General features: G+C 47.8%; 1 protein-coding gene across 19 annotated transcripts in view, besides 3 other annotated features; it reads right to left on the bottom strand.

Annotated features, from left to right (window-relative positions):
* KATNIP (katanin interacting protein) overlaps window positions 1–18,395 on the bottom strand; it is a 230,201-nt gene that overhangs the window by 73,759 nt on the left and 138,047 nt on the right. For 8 of the 19 annotated variants that reach the window (XM_005255201.4, XM_005255203.4, XM_011545776.3 and 5 more), the window contains 4 exons: window positions 8,086–8,258; window positions 6,987–7,106; window positions 4,891–4,997; window positions 2,588–2,690 (listed from right to left, as the gene is read on the bottom strand). In XM_005255201.4, coding sequence (XP_005255258.1) covers window positions 2,588–2,690; window positions 4,891–4,997; window positions 6,987–7,106; window positions 8,086–8,258 — 503 coding nt within the window. Of the gene's footprint in view, window positions 1–2,587; window positions 2,691–4,890; window positions 4,998–6,986; window positions 7,107–8,085; window positions 8,259–18,395 lie in introns of those variants that run through there. The other 11 variants (XM_011545775.3, XM_017023085.2, XM_047433842.1 and 8 more) reach the window with 4 other exon arrangements.
* Window positions 3,327–3,826: an enhancer, noted in NCBI's record as "NANOG-H3K4me1 hESC enhancer chr16:27714081-27714580 (GRCh37/hg19 assembly coordinates)". NCBI's record gives its function as "activates a minimal SCP1, AML or CMV promoter by ChIP-STARR-seq in primed H9 embryonic stem cells {active_cell/tissue: H9 hESC(primed)}" and the evidence as "EXISTENCE:reporter gene assay evidence [ECO:0000049][PMID:30033119]".
* Window positions 3,827–4,328: an enhancer, noted in NCBI's record as "NANOG-H3K4me1 hESC enhancer chr16:27713579-27714080 (GRCh37/hg19 assembly coordinates)". NCBI's record gives its function as "activates a minimal SCP1, AML or CMV promoter by ChIP-STARR-seq in primed H9 embryonic stem cells {active_cell/tissue: H9 hESC(primed)}" and the evidence as "EXISTENCE:reporter gene assay evidence [ECO:0000049][PMID:30033119]".
* Window positions 5,434–5,934: an enhancer, noted in NCBI's record as "H3K4me1 hESC enhancer chr16:27711973-27712473 (GRCh37/hg19 assembly coordinates)". NCBI's record gives its function as "activates a minimal SCP1, AML or CMV promoter by ChIP-STARR-seq in primed H9 embryonic stem cells {active_cell/tissue: H9 hESC(primed)}" and the evidence as "EXISTENCE:reporter gene assay evidence [ECO:0000049][PMID:30033119]".

Raw genomic sequence — 18,395 nt, 5'->3', positions numbered from 1 at the left:
TGCACTGCCCAATTTGGGATCCCACTTGGCGGTGGGAGGGGGACACTGGCTGGGAAGTTCCTGGCCCCTGTCATTCATTGTCCCCGCTCTTGCTGAGACCACTTGATTTTCCTTGGGGGAAAGCCACGGCGTCTCTTTTCTCAGCCATAAAGCATAGGGGAACTGACCCTTTCCCACTCCAGGGAGGTGCCTGACTGGTCCAAGGAAGCAATGTGTCCTGTCCCCTCGGCTGCCAGAAGGGAGCAGCTCAGTGACAGGCAAGCACCCCAGCACAGGTCGGTGCAAGCACACCAGTCACAGATTTACATGGGGAGAAACAGGCTTCTCTCCTGACAGTGGAGTCTGATGATACAGGGGTGCAAGGTAGAACCATTCTAGCTATTTGGGGACCATGAGGAGGGAGCAGAGATGGGACTGAGCTCCAGGGGGTGGGACTGAGCTTTCCACTGTGCAGACAGAGGGGAAAGACACAGTGCGAGCTGCTGGACCAGGCTCCACCTGGCCCTCCCTGTGTCATTTTCAATGAGAAGAGTCTGTCATTTTTCTGCTCTTTGTTGTATAAGTCAGTTTGCCCTGGATTTTCTGTCTCCCGTAATATAAGGAGACTTGGTCAGGTGTGGTGACTCACAGCTGTAATCCCAGCATTTTGGGATGCTGAGGCGGGAGGATTGCTTGAGCCCAGAAGTTCAAGACCAGCCTGGGCACCACAGCAAGGATTCATCTCTACAAAATTTTTTTAAAAAACAGCCAGGTGTGCTGGGGGGCCCCTGTAGTCCCAGCTACTCAGGAGGCCAAGGTGGGAGGATCGAGTGAGCAAGGAGTTCAAGGCTGCAGTGAGCTGTGATCACACCCACTGCACTCCAGCTTAGAAGAAAGAGCAAGGCCCTGTCTCTAAAATTAATTAATTAATTAAAACAATAAAAATAAAGAAACTATTCCATGCAGTGGGGAGCACAGCTTTGATTTTTCTCGGTGAACTTGCAGCAGATATTTGCTGGTTTCTCCCTGCACTGAGCTGCATGCTTTCAGAGACCTTTCCTGTTTCATCCTCACAGTGGCCTGTGGGGCATGGATTATTGACCCTATCTGAGAGCCAGGACCAGACAGCTTAAGAGGCTTGTCTAAGGTCACACAATCTCTCAATGATGGTGCCAGATTCAAAGCTGGAACTCTAGTCCAGGCCAGGCCAGCTCAGGGGCCTTTCTGCTCTCATAGGATTTTATATGTGGCTTTGGGAGGACTTTGCATTAAGTCCTCACCGGCCAGTAGTAAGATTGGTGACCACCATACCAAATAATACTAAGAATGGCTTGAGTGAAGGTAGGGGCAGAAGGGAGTGCTGGGACACACACCTTTTAGCACAAAAGAAAATGGAGGCTGGGTGTGGTGGCTCACGCCTATAATCCCAGCACTTTGGGAGGCCGAGGTGGGTGGATCACTTGAGGCCAGGAATTAGAGACCAGCCTGGCCAACATGGCAAAAACCCATCTCTACTAAAAATACAAAAATTAGCTGGGCATGGTGATGCGTGCCTGTAATCCCAGCTACTCAGTCGGCTGAGGCAGGAGAATAGTTTGAACCTGGGAGGCAGAGGTTGCCATGAGCCAAGATGGTGCCACTGCACTCCAGCCTGGGCGACAGAACAAGGCTCTGTCTAAGAAAAAAAAAAAAAAAAAAAAGAAAAAAAAGAAAAGAACGAAAATCGAATCACCGTTAATCCTACCACTCTGATGCCACAGTTCCCTTTTGTATTTTGTGTCCTAGCTCCATCAACACACTCATATGGCCACATCTTTGTGTGGTTGTCACAATCATTTTGGACTTGAAGATTAACATCACCTTTTACAGTCAGGCTGATATCTCTAACGTTTCCTGTCTGCATCGTCTCGTAATGATAGCTTCCATCCTTTTATACTACTGCATCGTGCTGATGTATTATACTTTCCTGATTAACTCCATTGTTATGAGACATTTAGGTTTTAAAAAAAAATGTCTTCCCTACTTCCAATAATTCTATAACAGACATCTTCCTGCCTCTAGCTTTTTAGTTCTGTGGGGTGATTTCCTTAGATAAGGAAGTGGGATTGTGGGGCGGAAAGACATAAGTGTTTCTCAGGCTCTTCCTAAGGTCAAGCATTCTGTTTTCCAAGAGGATTTCACCTGTTTATACAGCTGCCTGCCACGTATGTGGGACTGCCGCAGCTTTATTGTAACCTTGCTAGCACTAGAGGTTATCATCAGAAATAATTTGTCAATTCAGAGCTCAAATGGGACATTTAGGTTGCTGTAATTTGCATTTCTTGATTGCCAGCGATGTTGGACATTTTCCTATGGGCTTCCACGCTATTTATATTTCCTCTTGTGCAGACAGGCTTCTCTCTGCTGAAACTTCTGGCCTACATCTTCCTTTCTCTACCCCTGCTCTTCATCATATATACCTCTGTGTGCCAGGGAGGGGGGGGGCGGTGGAAACACAGGCAGAGAGATGCTCATTTAACCACTGTCAGAGCAATCCTCACTGATGCGAAATGCCTGTTCTGAGGGAACTTCCTGAATGTACAACTGAAAATCAAGTCAAGGCTCTCACCTCTGTGTCTGATACTTGCTCCTTGGTTGGTGAAACCACCCTGCCGAGATGGGCAGAGTCACTTTCGACGGCCTGGAGGACTTTCAGAAGCTTCTGCTGTTGTCTGAAATGGGATTTGGTTTTAGCAAACAGGAAGTAGTAAATGATACACAAAAGAGAACATTCCAATCAAAAGTGCTGCACTCGGGGATAGGAAATGATTTGAAGGGGAAGTATGCACTCTGTATCCAGTTCAAAGGCAAGGGCAGGCTTGCTGTTTTTCTCCCTTTATAAATGGCTACACAATTAGTGATGGAATCAGAGCCCAGCTGGGGAAACACTGCTTGGGGCAAGGTGGCCAGCTGACCTCCCTAAGCTTAGAACTTGAGAGTCAAGAGCAGAGGTCAGCTGAACTAAGGCCTACGGGTCAAATCCAGCCCGTGACCTGTTTTTGTATAGCCTGTGAGCTAAGAATGGTTTATGTTTTTAAAAGGTTGTACAAAGAAACAAACTATAACAACAACAATAACAACAACAAAACCAACCGCAAAGCATATTTACTATCTGGCCCTTTATAGCAACAATTTGCTGACTCCTGGGCTGGAGATCTGCTCTGCTCCTCTTGTTTCTGAGGACATGGCATTCTAAACCCAGCAGAGCGTGCCTTCATCATTTGCAAACATGCCCACGTGTGCAGTTTAAGGCTGGGTACCCCCAAGGCCCTGAAGCACAAAGGATCTCGATGCCGAGGAACCAAGCATTTGGCGGAGTGCATGCTGCTTGTAATAAAACTGCATCAGATGTAAAATATCCTCATGGCCCAGCCTTTTCTTTCTTTCTTTTTTTTTTTTTGAGATGGAGTTTTGCTCTTGTTGCCCAGGCTGGAGTGCAATGGCACAGTCTCGGCTCACTACAACCTCTGCCTCTGGGGTTCAAGCAATTCTCCTTCCTCAGCTTCCTGAGTAGCAGGGATTACAGGGGCTCGCCACCATGCCCAGCTAATTTTTGTATTTTTAGTAGAGATGGGTTTTCGCCATGTTGGCCAGGCTGGTGTCGACCTCCTGACCTCAGGTGATTTGCCCACCTGGGCCTCCGTAAGTGCTGGGATTACAGGCATGAGCCACTGCACCGGGCGGCCTTTTCACATGCAGGGGAATCTGCGAGTTCTTATTATGGCCACAATGGTACACAGCCCTGATTTCCACCTGGGGCCTGGAGAGTCTTAAAGGAATGGATGGCGCTGCCTTTAGCCTATTCAGTTTTCCTTTAAGTTATAACAAAGGGCTCCCTCTAGGTAGACACAGACCTGGAGGGCACACAGCTTGGCTAGTGAATTCCTTCTTCATGCAGAAAAACGACCACCCCCTTTCTGGGCTGATGCAGCCCCAGGCCAGACCCTCAGCTTAGTAACCAGCACACAGGCTGGATTTCAGCCCCTTCTCGCCTCTCAGCCAGGCACTTTGCACAGTGCACAACATGCACAGCTGTGCAGTGGCCCTCAGAGTGTGTCTGTGTGCCATGGCATGCTAGAAACTACAGGCTCTCAGCCTGACGCATCTTTCTGAAGATCTATTTTGTCTGAAGACTAGAGGGAAGGCTTTATTTTGATAATAAAACCTGACAGTTCCAATAACTGCTGCTACACGTTAATGGAACAGAATGCTGAGTTTGAACAAACTTTTAATAGAGAAAAGGAGCTTCGAAGGACGCTGCTGTGGGCCAACCTCGCCCCCTAGACCAGCTGGGGAACAAGTTTAACACCCTGTGCTGCATGGGGTATTCTACTGGAAACCTGGAGAAGGTTCAAGTTCTACACAGGTTGGGGCCAAACTGACCAAGATAAGAGCCATATGCCTAAAAGAAATCAAGTCAATTTGAGAGCTTTAGGGCTGGTGGGGGAGACAGAGTATAGTCTAAAGGAATAGTTTAACAGAGTTTGGGGTCAGGTGTAGTGGCTTACGCCTGTTTGAGAGGCCGAGGTGGGTGGACTGCTTGAGCCCAGGAGCTGGAGACCAACCTGGGCAACGTTGTGAGACCCCCTCTACAAAAAAGTACACAAATTAGCTGGGTGCGGTGGCACACACCTGTGATCCCAGATACTCAGGAGGCTGAGGCTGGAGGATCATTTTAACCCAGGAGTTTGAGGCTGCAGTGAGCTGTTTGTGCCACTGCACTCCAGCCTGGGCAACAGAGCAAGATTCCATCTTAAAGAAAGAAATAAGGGGTCTGAAAAAAACGTAGGAAAAGCAAAGAACCCTCATGAAGAAGATCCCCATGGCTGCACTGCTAAGGGGTTTCGGGTTTGGCCTCAGCCTTAGTAGTACCTGCTTCCCAGAAGCCCAATTCTGTCCATGGCCTGGTTGATGGCCCTGGCTCCTCCTGCTGCCCCGGCCGGCTCCTGAGTAGTAGTCGCCGTGGTGATGGGAAGCAGCTGAGGATGGAAAGGCTTATTAAACAGATGTCTCAGGCAACACTCCTGGCCTAAGACACAGCAGGGTCACGGTCAAGGGCAGGCATGCTCAGGCTGACAGTCCCTTTGTAGAAAACAGGAACAGGAATGTGAGGGTGACAGCAACTGCCTGGAGCTTCTATCTAGAACCCCTCACACCATCTCAGCTTCCGAGGACCAGGGCGCTCCTAGGAAACAATCCACTTCGATGAGTGACTGTAAACTTTCTCTTATCAAAATGCTTCACTGGCCAGACGCAATGGTTCATGCTTGTAACTGTAGCATTTTGGGAGGCTGTGGCAGGAGGATCACTTGAGCCCAGGAGTTTGAGGCTGCAGTAAGCTATGGTCATGCCACTGCACTCCAGCCTGGGTGACAGAGTGAGACACTGTCTCAAAAAATAAAAAATAAAAAAAAATCCTCTCACCATCTCAACCAAGCCCCTGTTCTGCTTTGTACAAAGTAAGCAGACTCTATGAAGAATTCCAGTAACAGCATTAGGCCCTTTCATTTTTAATTCTCTGAGCCTTTTCCCCTTCTTTTTCATTTGTCATCGACGCTAAAAATGTGCCCTGCTGTCCATCTGCAGACGATTTTAGTCCCTGGAATCTCTGTGGGTCAGGAATTAGGTCATTCAGAAATTCCGGACCTGGGCAGTTACTGCAGGCCTGTCAGAAACACAGGCTAGTGGCAGACGAGGATGATGGGAACTGGCAGGACAAGTGGCAGCAATGCAAACAGCAAACAGCTCCAGTGCTCTGGGGTGTCACATGCACACCCTGTCCCACTTGGGCTCTGTCTCCCTCTGCTTCTCCCGTCCCCACTTCGCCGCCTCACAAAGGGCTTCTTCCTGCTCCTTGATCAGGCTGGGCTCATTCCCACCTCAAAGCTTTTCCCCGTTCCTTCCACCTGGAATGCCGTTCCCTGTTGCTGGTGCCTTCCGAACAGGCAGGGCTCAGCTCAGATGGGACATGCCTTCCAAGGGGCACCCAGGACCACCCTGTGAGCAGCAGCCACCACCCCACACCCTGTCATTCTCTCACATATTAGCAGCTGTGATTGTCATCGCTCTCTGATATCACCCTGTTTATGTATGGTTTTATTTGCTGTTGCCTGTAAGCTGCATGGGGCTGGGGCTCATCTGTCTCAGCTGCCTCTGCATTCTGAGCACACAGCACAGACCTGTGTATAACCAAGCAAAGATGGTCCTGGGCATTTTATTAAGTCACTTCCTTATTTTCTGGGACCAAATTTGCTGAGATATACTTAATTGACCTAGATAGATACAGATAAAAAAATTTATTTATTCAAGGTACTAAGATCTGTTTTTGCATTGTCTTGTCAATAAATAGAAATATAGGTCAGGCGTGGTGGCTAACACCTGTAATCCCAGCACTTTGGGAGGCTGAGGCGGGTGGATCACTTGAGGTCAGGAGTTCGAGACCAGCCTGACTAACATGATGAAACCTTGTCTCTAGTAAAAATACAAAAATTAGCCAGGCGTGGTGGCTGTGCGCCTGTAATCCCAGCTACTTGGGAGGCTGAGGTGGGAGAATCACTTGAACCCGGGAGGCAGAGGTTGTAGTGAGCCGAGATTGCACCATTGCACTCCTGCCTGGGCAACAGAGTGAGATTCTGTCTCAAAAAAAAAAAAATAAATAAAATAAAAAAATAAATAAATAGAAATAATTACAACAGTTTGAGTCAGCAGGCCTGGGTGAGTTCTAGCTTCAACTCGTGACCTTGGGTAAGCCACGCCATTCCTGGTCTCCCGATCTGTGAAATGGGCAGCATGACACCAGTGCTCAGGGCACACAGTGAGGACCTGGTAGGACAGTGTGAAGGAAAGCGCCCTGGAGGCCATCAGGTGCTATGCACATGCATAGGGCTTTGTCATTCATCTCTGCCTGGCACCATCGGGAGCTACGCACATGCGTGGGGCTTTGTCATTCATCTCTGCCTAGCACTGACCTCAAGGGTCTCTTCCTTCTCCTCCAGCAGACTGGTCCATGGTTTTGCTGGTGGTCCTTCTGCATCCTGGAAGGATGTGATCACATGATGTGATGTTGGAACAAAGCCATTCACTCCATGCTGTTCACAGAAAGATGAGGGCACAGAAAAGGGCAGGGACCTTCTCAAGCTACCATAGATATAAAGTTCAGGGGCAAGGTCAGAGGTCTGGGAACACAGACAATAGTTGCTGCTCGATGGATGCCCCAAAGATCAACCCCAAGATAGAGCCTGGGGAACAACCGGTGCTGGTGACAGGGCCCTGGGCTTGCAGGCGGGCAGATCTCGGCCACTTGCAAAGATGTGATCACCTTGTCCTTGAGAGAAGCAGGCCACCTTGCTTCTCTGGGTACCAGTGGCCATATCTGTGAAGTGAGGCAATGAAACCAACCCTGCCTATTTAAGGGCTACTCTGAGCATCGGGGGGACAAGCTAAGAAAAAGGGTTTCAACAGGCGACTCACAGACCAAGCTTCTGAGAAAGGACGTGCACACCAAGCTATACCCAATGCCTCCAGCTCCCCAAGGTCCCTGATCTACCCACCATTTATCCTCCTGTTGGCTGCTCAAAGCTGAAGGCAGCAGGCGGAAGCTCAAACCCCTGTAGGCCCAGAGAGGTTTTGTGAACAAGTGAAGTGGGCCAGGGGCAGGACAATAGGGAGCAGTGACGACTGCGGAGGCCTGAAGGGCCCACGCTCGGGAATGAGACCTTTGCTGGGAAGCCAGAGCTTGTTGTTGACTCCATTCTTCACTGACCCACCAGTTTGCAACCCTGGTCTAAGGTATCCAGGGTTTGCAGGGAAATCAGTGAGGATGAGGACTGGAGGCAGATTAGCACCCAGCTTAGGCTTTGTGAAATAAAGAGCTAAAAGAAGGCGGAAGAAAAGGGAGCCTTAGCAGGTCAGTGGGTGACTGTCTGAACAGTGGAAACACGGATGAGTCTGGGGTCAGCGATGCCCACTACACCTCTCTCTTCTGCACACTTGCTCTTCTCAACTGCAGCTCAGACACTGCCCAGTCCAGGGAGCATCCCCCGGTTCCTCTCCCAGCCCGGAGCGCACCTGCAGTGGGCTGGCTGGCTGCTCGGCCTTTCTGCTGAGGAGCGCCCTCTGCAGGGCTGCGTTCTCCACCTGGATGGCTTGGAGCACAGCAGAGGCATCTTCCTCTGGGTACTCAGCCTCGCAAAGAGTTTTGCGGGTTGCAGACAGGGGTCTCTCTCGCCGGCTTCCAGGTCCTGAGGGCAGAAGACAGGGGGACGTTCTTTTAGATTATATTCTCGGAGTGCAGCTCACAACCCATTAGACCCCAATTGAGGAACATTCTATAAAACAACTGGCCCATACTCTCCAAAAATGTCAAGGCGGTAAAAGACAAAGAAAACGGTTCCAGATTACAGGAGACTAGGCAGACACGGCTGAATGCAGTGGTGGCCCTGGGGGGACTTGGTCCTGGGGAGGGAGCAGTGCTGTAAAGAACATTATTGTGGCAACTGGGAAAATTCAAATACAGTCTATGGCTTAGACAGTGGTATTCTAGTAATGCTAAATATCCTGAATTTTGTTAGTGTACTGTGGTTATGTAAAATGAATGCCCTTGTTTTTAGGAGATATATATAGCAGTGTTCGGGGTAAAGGGGAATGATGTCTGCCACTTAATTTCAAATAGCTTACAAACACACACACACAGTTCAGGAGTAAAGGGGAATGACGTCTGCAACTTCATCTCAAATAGTTTACACACATACATGCACACACACATATGCACATGCACAAACACAGTTCAGGGGTAAAGGGGAATGATGTCTGCAACTTCATCTCAAATATTTACACACACACACACACCCTCTATCGATCAATTTATCTGCAGTTATATAATTTAATTTACAGATCAATACATGATAGCAGGCATACACATATGTGTGTGCATAATATTTCTGTATATATAATTTTTGTATAATTATATATAATTTTTATATAATTATATATATACATAGAATATAAAGCAAAAGCAATTGGAGTAAAACGTTAACTGGTGAATCTGGGTATGTGGGTGAAGGGTGGAAGCGTCAGTGTACTATCCTTACAATGTTACTTTAAGTTTAAAATTTTATCAAGACATGCATCCAACAAGCATATGAAAAAATGCTTGACATCACTAATCATTAGAGAAAAGCAAATCAAAATCACAAGGAGATACCATCTCACACCAATCAGAATGGCTATTGAAAAGTAAAAATCTAACAGATAGATGCTGGCGAGGTTGGGGATTAAAGGGAATGCTTATACACTGCTGGTGGGAGTGTAAATTAGTTCAGCCATTGTGGAAAGCAGCATGGCGATTCCTCAAAGAACTAAAAACAGAATTACCATTTGACCCAGCAATCTCATTACTAGGTATATACCCAAAGGAATATAAATCATCCTACCATAAAGACACATGCACATGTCTGTTCATCTAGCACTATTCACAATAGCAAAGACATGGAATCAACCTAAATGCCCATCAACAGTAGACTGGATAAAGAAAATGTGGAGGCCGGGTGTGGTGGCTCACGCCTGTAATCTCAGCGCTTTGGGAGGTCGAGGTGGGTGGATCACCTGAAGTCAGGAGTTCGAGATCAGCCTGGTCAACATGGTGAAACCCTGTCTCTAATAAAAATACAAAAATTAGCTGGGTGTAGTGGCAGGCACCTGTAATCCCAGCTACTTGGGAGGCTGAGGCAGGAGAATCGTTTGAACCCAGGAGGCAGAGGTTGTAGTGAGCCGAGATCGCACCATTGCACTCCGGCCAGGGCAACAAGAGTGAAACTCTGTCTCAAAAAAAAAAAAAAGAAAAAAAATGTGGAATACTATAGAATACACCACGGAATACTATACAGCCATAAAAAAGAATGAGATCGTGTTCTCTGCAGCAACATGGATGAAACTGAAGGCCATTATCCTGAGCAAACTAACATGGGAACAGAAAACCAAATATTGCATGCTCTCACTTATAAGCTAAACAATGAGAACACACGGATACTAGCAGGGGAACAACAGACACTGAGGTCTATTGAGGGCAGAAGGTGGGAGGAAGGAGAGGACCAGAAAAAATACCTATCAGGTACTATGCTTATTACCTGGGTGATGAAATTATCTGTATACCAAATCCCTGTGACATGCAGTTGACCTATGTAACAAACCTGCACATGTATTCCTGAAACTCAAAGTTAAAAAAATAAAAATAAAAAATAAAATTGCATCAAAACAAAAACTTATTTAAAAAATTAACTTTCTTACAGAATACCTGTAAAGAATAATATATAATGTTAGGAAGAAGGATGGGTATTTTGCAATATTATTGCTTTTTTGTTTTACTTTTGCACGGGTAACAAGAATTACAAAGTAATAACACCCCAATTTAAGAAAACAAGTATTGCAAAGTTGCAGTTGATTCTGGAAGTTCCCATGAATGGAAAGATGGTTTTATAAAATATACAGTGATATAAAAGAAGCACCTAATAAAACTAAGCATCTAATAAATTATGGTACACCCACCCAACAGAGTACAATGACGCTCTAAAAAGAAAAGAATACTAAAATATCTGCAGGTAAAATTATATGAAGGCTTCCATTTGCTTCCTAAAAATCTGGGGAATGGGTAGGGGTGATGACGAGATGAAATTGCCTGTAAATTGATTATTGCCAAGGATGGGTAATGGATGGATACATTGGGGCGGGGAGGGGAGGTCAGTGTAACATCCTCTCAATTATTTATGTTTGGATTTTTTTCATATTAAAACATACTCCATTAAAATATAGAGCTGCTCCAAATATTTCTTTGGGGTGCTTAAAGAGTTTACCTACTGAATCTCAACCCTTGGGGAAATATTTATCTGTGCCAGGCTCTGTTCTTGGCACTGGCGACACAGCAGTGACCAGAGATACCAAGTCCCCCACTCACATGGTGAGAGACCATAAGCTGGAGAAATAATAAATTTAAAACACAGAGTTTGATGTGGAAACTGACATGAAAAACCATGCAAAGCAGATCGGGGTAAGGGAGATCTGGAGTGTGGATATCAGGGGCAGAGAGAGCCTCGCAGAGGACCAGGGAAGTGTGCTCCAGGCACCAGCGCAAAGATGGGAGGCGTGTGATGTGTTCTCTGAGCAGCTAGGTACCCATGGGGCTGGAGCGGAGCCAGCAGGGGTATAGGTTGACAGAAGGCCTGAAAGGGATTGGGGGAGCGCAGGTCATGCAGGGCCTTGCAGGGCACTGTAGGGCCCATGCTCTGCGGGAAATGGGGAGCCACTGAGGAATTCAGAGCAGAAGACCAGATCTGATGTAGGTGCAGAGTGGAGAAGAGACTGAAAGGAGGTGAAAGCAGGGAGATGGCCAGGGGCTACTAGTTGTCCAGGAGACAGGAGGCAACAGCGGTGGAGGAGGGGACACAGAATGTGGTCAGATTACAGGCATCTGCCAGAGACAGAGCCAATAGGACTTCCTAACAGTCCAGCTGTGGATGGGATAGGAAGAGAGGAGTTACAGGTGACTCCACGAGTGATGGCTTGAAGTAGAAGACGGGGTTGCTTTCAGCTGAGCTGTGGAAGGCTGTGGGTAGAGGAAGTTTGGGAGGAGCAGAGGGCTCAATTTGGGACAAGCTGGGTTCAAGATGTGAGTGTGGCATCAGAACAGAGCTGCTGAGTTGACCTGTGCACGCAGGAATCCAGAGTTTGAGAGAGTCTAGGCTGGATATGTAAATTTATTTATTTATTTATTTATTTATTTATTGTGGTAGGGTCTCCCTTGTCCAGGCTGGAGTGCAGTGGCACAATCTCGGCTCACTGCAACCTCTACCTCTGGGGTTCAAGCAATTCTTGAGCCTCAGCCTCCTGAGTAGCTGGGACTACAAGCATGCGCCACCATGCCCAGCTAATTTTTGTATTTTTTGTAGAGACGGGGTTTCACCATGTTGCCCAGGCTGGTCTCAAACTCCTGGACTCAAGTGATCCACCCACCTCGGCCTCCCAAAGTGCTGGGATTACAGGCATGAGCCACCGTGCCTGGCCTGGAGATGTAAATTTTACATAGGCAACTGGATTGGATCATTTAAGGGTATCAAAGATTGGTATTAATGTTGGCCTAAAACAAACTAATGAAATTTACAGGTATGACATCTTGGGGGATCTATGTATACTTGTGACCTGGTACAAGGCTTTCTGAAAAACAGCATGCTTCCATTCTCAGGACCTTAGCAAACCATCAGCTGTTGATTATTAAGGGCTCCTGTCGAAGCACTTGACTCTCTTGCTACGCCCCATTAGAATGCTGTGTCTGAATGTTCAGGTAGCAACATCAAGAATGTCACTGGCAGGAGAAGGCAGGAGACACCTGGAGGCTCTACTGGGCTGCTTTCCAGGACAGCCAGGCACTGGGCTGATGGGGATGATGGTAGGTTTTTATGGGAATGCTAAGCTAAAATGAAGGAATAGCAAGTTCTGCCAGGCACCCAAGAAAGGGGCTGTGAGTGCAAATGCCCCAAGAACCATCTCAGTGTCACTGAATGCCAGGGGCCGAGTGCCACTGAATAGAAGCCACCTACCTCCCAGCTCCAGACAATCCTTGCCTTATGGGACTGTGCTCCTAGTGTTACCAAATGCTTTTTTTTCCCCCAAGAAAAGCTACCATCTGAAATATATGTGAAATCCCCTGAATTTTATTTGTTCATAATGTCTTCCAGTTTCTAAGAAATGTTGTAAGGGCCAACAGAACCCACTGGCTGTTCTAGTACAGGCCAGGGCACGTCCCAGCTGCTCCCTGAGAAGGGTCAAGGCACCTAGAGGAACCTTCACAGCACCTGTGGATGGCTGCTCTGAGCAATAAACATCAAGTGGGGCCAGGCGCAGTGGCTCACGTCTGTAATCCCAGCACCTTGGGAGGCTGAGGCAGGTGGATCACCTGAGGTCAGGAGTTCAAGACCAGCCTGGCCAACATGGTAAAACCCCATCTCTACTAAAAATACAAAAATTAGCCAGGCATGGTGGCGGGCGCCTGTAATCCCAGCTACTTGGGAGGCTGAGGCAGGAGAATCGCTTGAACCCGGGAGGCAGAAGTTGCAGTAAGTCGAGATCATGCCACGGCACTCCAGCCTGGGCCACAGAGCGAGACTCCATCTCAAAAAAAAAGAAAAGAAAAAATCAAGTGGGCCATTTTCAGACTTTGATGTACTGTCTCTTGTCATCATCCCTGATGCTGCTCCTGAGGACAGAGAGGTAAGGAGCTGCCAGACATGTGAGCCAGGGATTCTGCTCGCCCACTGGAGGCTGCTTTGCCCTTCTCATCTGTCACTTGGCCTGCTGGGCAACAGGAGAGATGAGAAAGTAAAGCAAACATGGGCTGAGAATGAGGTTTGGAAGAAACTCTGTTTAGCAAGCTATGTTGCAGATTCTTATTGTTATGGAAACAAGCAACAGGTAAAAGGATGGGGAAGATCTCACCAGTATCTTCCTTACTCAGTGCAAAAAGGATCAGGTCCTGAAATAGCCAGGAGGACCACAAAAGGAGTGAAGGAAGCTGAAGGATGTGGTTTTGAGCTATACTGGAGCTGAAGCCAAAACACCCCAAAGTATAGACACACCCTCGCCCCTAACGCAGAAATGAGTTATCCACAAAGTCAAAGGTACTTCGTTACCAGGCTTACGACCTGCACTATGCTGTGAGCTTCTTTGGTTGAGTGAGATGCTGCTCTTGGTGTGGGAGTACAGGGGTCGGAGGAACGGGCACACTTTCTGCCCTCATTGACCTTGTAGTCACAAAGCAGAGACAGACATGGGTCAGGTACATGCAGAGGGTAAGGGGCTGCTCATGATGGGAGGGGACGCACTGTCATTTGAGATGTACCATCTGGGAAGAGGATATCTGAGTGGGGACACGAAGGCGGTGAGCCCTGGGAATACCCTGCTCTTCCCTTCGCCTGGAACAGCAGGTGCCAGGCCCTGGTAGGTCAAGCTCAGCACACTGAGGAGTGGCAAGGGGGCTGGAATGGGGGGCAAGGGGAAGGATGGTTAGCAACGAGGGTGGAGAGGTTGCGGGCTCAGTTCTTGTAGAGCCTCAGCTACTTCATGAGGTCATACCCATCTTGTTTACTGTTGTATCCCTGACACCTGGCATTATAATTTTTGCTAAATGGATGGATGAAAAATGACTTAAACCCCAAACCTTGTAAATCTAAGTATTTGTGAATATCACCCAACCACATGGTTCTCTCCATCATCTGTAGTAAAGCACAGTTGAAAAAATCAAGCTCCCTTTAGACCCTATAGACAATTCCATAAATAAGGGACCAAGATTGTGTCAAAGCTAAACAAATGCACCAGCACCTGACACGTGGGGTGCAAACACCAGCATTGGTAGAAGGCTTGGGCAGCACCAGGACAAGTAGAACCTGAAATTCACAAGCTCATTCACCATTTCCCGCATGAAGCACTTATAAAATTTGTCTAAAAAGAACCATGTGGTGACCCTTATCTTTTTACTGCCAATCTTTGGGCAAGAGCCTGTTCCTCTTATGCCTCATCAGTCTGGGGCTGGGATGGAACAAGAGGCCTCTGAGATAGCTTGGAAGCTCGTCTCATGACCTGTGAGCAGGCGGGATGATCTGTCCTTGGCTGCTGCAGCCCTATGCTCACTTCCTCTTGGACAAGGAGAGTCACAAAGGCATCTTTCTCCAGTAGAGACCAGTTTTATCTGCACAGACCCTTTTGCCCCTGAGCGTCTTTCATTTGGGAGGAAATGCTCCTCCAGCAACATGATCATCAGGTGCTGTCTGTGCCCTTTGAGTCATATTATGCTAAGAACATGCTTTTAAAAATTAAATCACCCTTTCTCCAAGTGAAGGTCAATGCTGCAGCTCCACTACCAGAGCTTTTCCCATCCTGGCTTTCCAGAACCGTCCTACATGGCGCCCCAGTTCTCCAAAATCACGTTCCCTCTGTGCACTCCCTCACACCGCACACACGTGCACACGAGGTAACCACCTTTTAATTCTTTTTGATGCTCTCATCGCTCACTTGGGCGAATGCTAGCCTGAATACCCCATGATGGTGGATTTATTCCCATCACAGACCTAGAGGATGGTGGATCTATTCACACAGTCCATTTGTGCCACCAGCAAAAGCCAAATTGCACATTTTAACTTCTCCCAAACTGCTCTTTTCTGGTTGAGAACCATCCCTCTTCCGATAACTTTGCTTTATCTTCACTTCACCAGTGTTTGGCTTTCTTCTCTCTCACAGAGAAACAAAAGGTGTATCAATTCAGGAAATTTACCATGAATGCAACACATGTCACACAGAAGACGTGAGGGCACGAGGCTGCCGGTCGGCTCACCAGCCACCAGCTGTGACTTGAAAAGCTCAAATTCAGAGTCTCAGCAAAATTACCCCTTTCTACATGCAAGGGGCCTTGGAGGTCACCTGGGAAGCCACCGAAATGGCGAATATGAAATTTAAGGACAACAAGGGTCTATTATAGCAATCATAAACCGGCAGCCCACAGGCATAACCTGCCTACAGAGATGTATTGTGTCACTTTCACTTTTTTAGAAAAATTGAAAATAGATGCCAAGCTCAAAAAAAAAGGAAATCCACCTGAAAATTGGGATTCCTGGCATCTCCTGAAAAGTAATACCATCTGGCAACCCTGGAACAGTATTCATATGTGGGAACCATCGGCTGGAGCTAGGTGATGGCGCCCCCTTTCGACAGGGCTGAAATGCTCCAGTTTCCACAGTGCACCCCACTCCCTGTGGTCACATGCCTGGTAGGCCTTGAAACTGTACACTATGTTGTGTGGCAAAAAGTCCAGGGAAATGGTAGACATAGCCTTGTTTTGTCTTCAGATGTCCACACTCACTTCTAAAAGCCAAGAGGGAGGTGGGGAAGGGAGAGTGTGCCCTGGGACAATGTTCTAGGCCTGAGTGCTCCAAAGCCTCCATGCATTTCCAAATGGGCCAACGTCATCAGGCTACCTGCTTCCTATGGCATCGGGAACTGCAACAAGTGGCCACGAATTCCTCCCACCCCTGTATGTGGACCGCTGCAATGTGGTTTTGCAGCATTTTCCATTAGGAGCTAGTGTCTGTTTCTCTAGCTGGGCTTGGCCTGGTGGCTTTCATTTTATTTTTATTTATTTTTCTATCTATCTATCTATCTATCTATCATCTATCTATCTATCTATCTATCTATCTATCTATCTATCTATCTATCTGAGATGGGGTCTCACTCTGTCACCCGGGCTGGAGTGCCATGGAATGAGTATGGCTCACTGCAGCCTTGACTTCCCTGTGCTCAAGTCATCCTCTTGCCTCAGCCTCCTGTGTAGCTGGGACCACAGGCATGCACCACATCACCCAGCTAGTTTTATTATTATTATTATTATTATTTGTAGAGATGAGGTATCACTTTGTTGCCCAGGCTGGTCTTGAACTCCCAGGCTCAAGTGATCCTCTCGCCTCGGACTCCCAAAGTGCTAGGCTTACACGCATGAGGCACTGCAGCCGGCCCTGCCTGGTGACTTTCTTTGGCTAACAGGACATTAGCAATCATGACCAAGCAGTCTTTAAAAAGCACCCAGGCATGGGCTTGTCCTCTCTTGCTGCCCTGAAATCACCAGTGCTAGAGAATAAGACTCTATGGGGCCAAGATGGGCTGTCCTAGCCAAGGTCCTCAGGACAAACAAAACTGCCAGACATGTGAGTAAGGCTGTCCTAGACCATCTGGCCCAGCCACCTGCTAGCTCACTACAGAACAGCCCAGTCCACCCACAGACTCATGAGCAATCATAAAACGGTTGCTGTTTTAAGCCACTACATTTTGGGGTGGGTTGTCAGGCAGTAATAGTTAGCCGACAGACCTGGCTTGTTAAGGCCTGTGTTCTTCTCATCTCTAAAGCTGCTTTTGGGACTTTTCTTGATGGCAGGTGCTGTCTGCAGCCCTGTCATCATTCTGCCACTGTCTCTCCCTGAGCCCAGGAGTGCGGGTGATTTTCAAGGACAGCAATCAAGGCCCCCAGACTAAATGACTTCTACTCTTGGATGTTACAGTCCATTGCTCTACACTGCCTCCGTAGAATCTGTGGCAAAATGTCCTATGTGGTTGACTTTTTTTTTTTTTTAGACGGAGTCTCACTCTGTCATCCAGGCTGGAGTCCAGTGGCGTGATCTCACTGCAACCTCCACCTCCTAGGTTCAAGTGATTCTCCAACCTCAGCCTCCTGAGTAGCTGGGACTACAGGCACATGCCACCACACCCAGCTAATTTTCATATTTTTAGTAGAGATGGGGTTCTGACATGTTGGCCAGGCTGGTCTCAAACTCCTGACCTCAAGTGATCCACCTGCCTTGGCCTCCCAAAATGCTGGCATTACAGGCATGATCTACTACGCCTGGCCACCTATGTGGTTCATTTTTATATGAAATGGATAGCAGTGGCTTTTGTCTACCTGGCACTATGATCTTCACAGCACCTATGGTTTCCTTCAGGGAACCATTCTTTCCTCACCTTTCTCAGCCTTTTGGGTGGCTATGACCCCACTCCTGGCCCTGGCTGTAGTGGATCTTTGCAGATCTGACTCCACTTCTGGCTCAGCCTGGGCCATGCCAGACTACCTCTCCCTGACCATGGAGGAGGGAGGCTGGTTCAGGAGAGAGCTGGTTCTTGAACTAAGAAAAGAACTGTCTCTCTCACCTGGGGATTGCAAAGCAGATAGTAAAGGAAGCCTGGAGCCACTGGGGGCCATCTCTAGGCCATCAATGAAATGCCTGCCTGGTAGTAACTAGAGACATGGGTCTCAAAGTGTGTTCTCTAAACCAGTAATGTCAGGATCGCCTGGGAACTTGCTAGGAATTAAAACACTTACCTCTACCTCAGACACACTGAAGCAGAAATTCTGGGATTGGGGCCCAATAATCTGATTTATTTTATTTTACTTATTGAGACGGAGTCTCACTCTGTTGCCCAGGCTGGAGTGCAGTGGTGCGATCTTGGGTCACTGCAACCTCTGCCTCCCGGGTTCAAGCAATTCTCCTGTCTCAGCCTCCTGAGTAGCTGGGACCACAGGTGACCGCCACCATGTCCGGCTAACTTGTATTTTTAGTAGAGATGGGGTTTCACCGTACTGGTCAGGCTGATCTTGAACTCCTGACCTCAGGAGATCCACCCTCCTCAGCCTCCCAAAGTGCTGGGATTACAGGTGTGAGTCACCATGTCCGGCCAATCTGATTATTTTAATTATTATTTTATTTAAGAACAAAATAGAGACAAGGTCTCACTACACCGCCCAGGCTGGTCTTGAACTCCTGGGTTCAAATGAGTCTCCTGCCTCAGCCTCCCAA

The sequence above is a fragment of the Homo sapiens genome, chromosome 16 (genome assembly GCF_000001405.40).
Source record: "Homo sapiens chromosome 16, GRCh38.p14 Primary Assembly".
NCBI lineage: Eukaryota > Metazoa > Chordata > Mammalia > Primates > Hominidae > Homo > Homo sapiens.
This window is presented reverse-complemented; position numbering and strand designations above follow the sequence as displayed.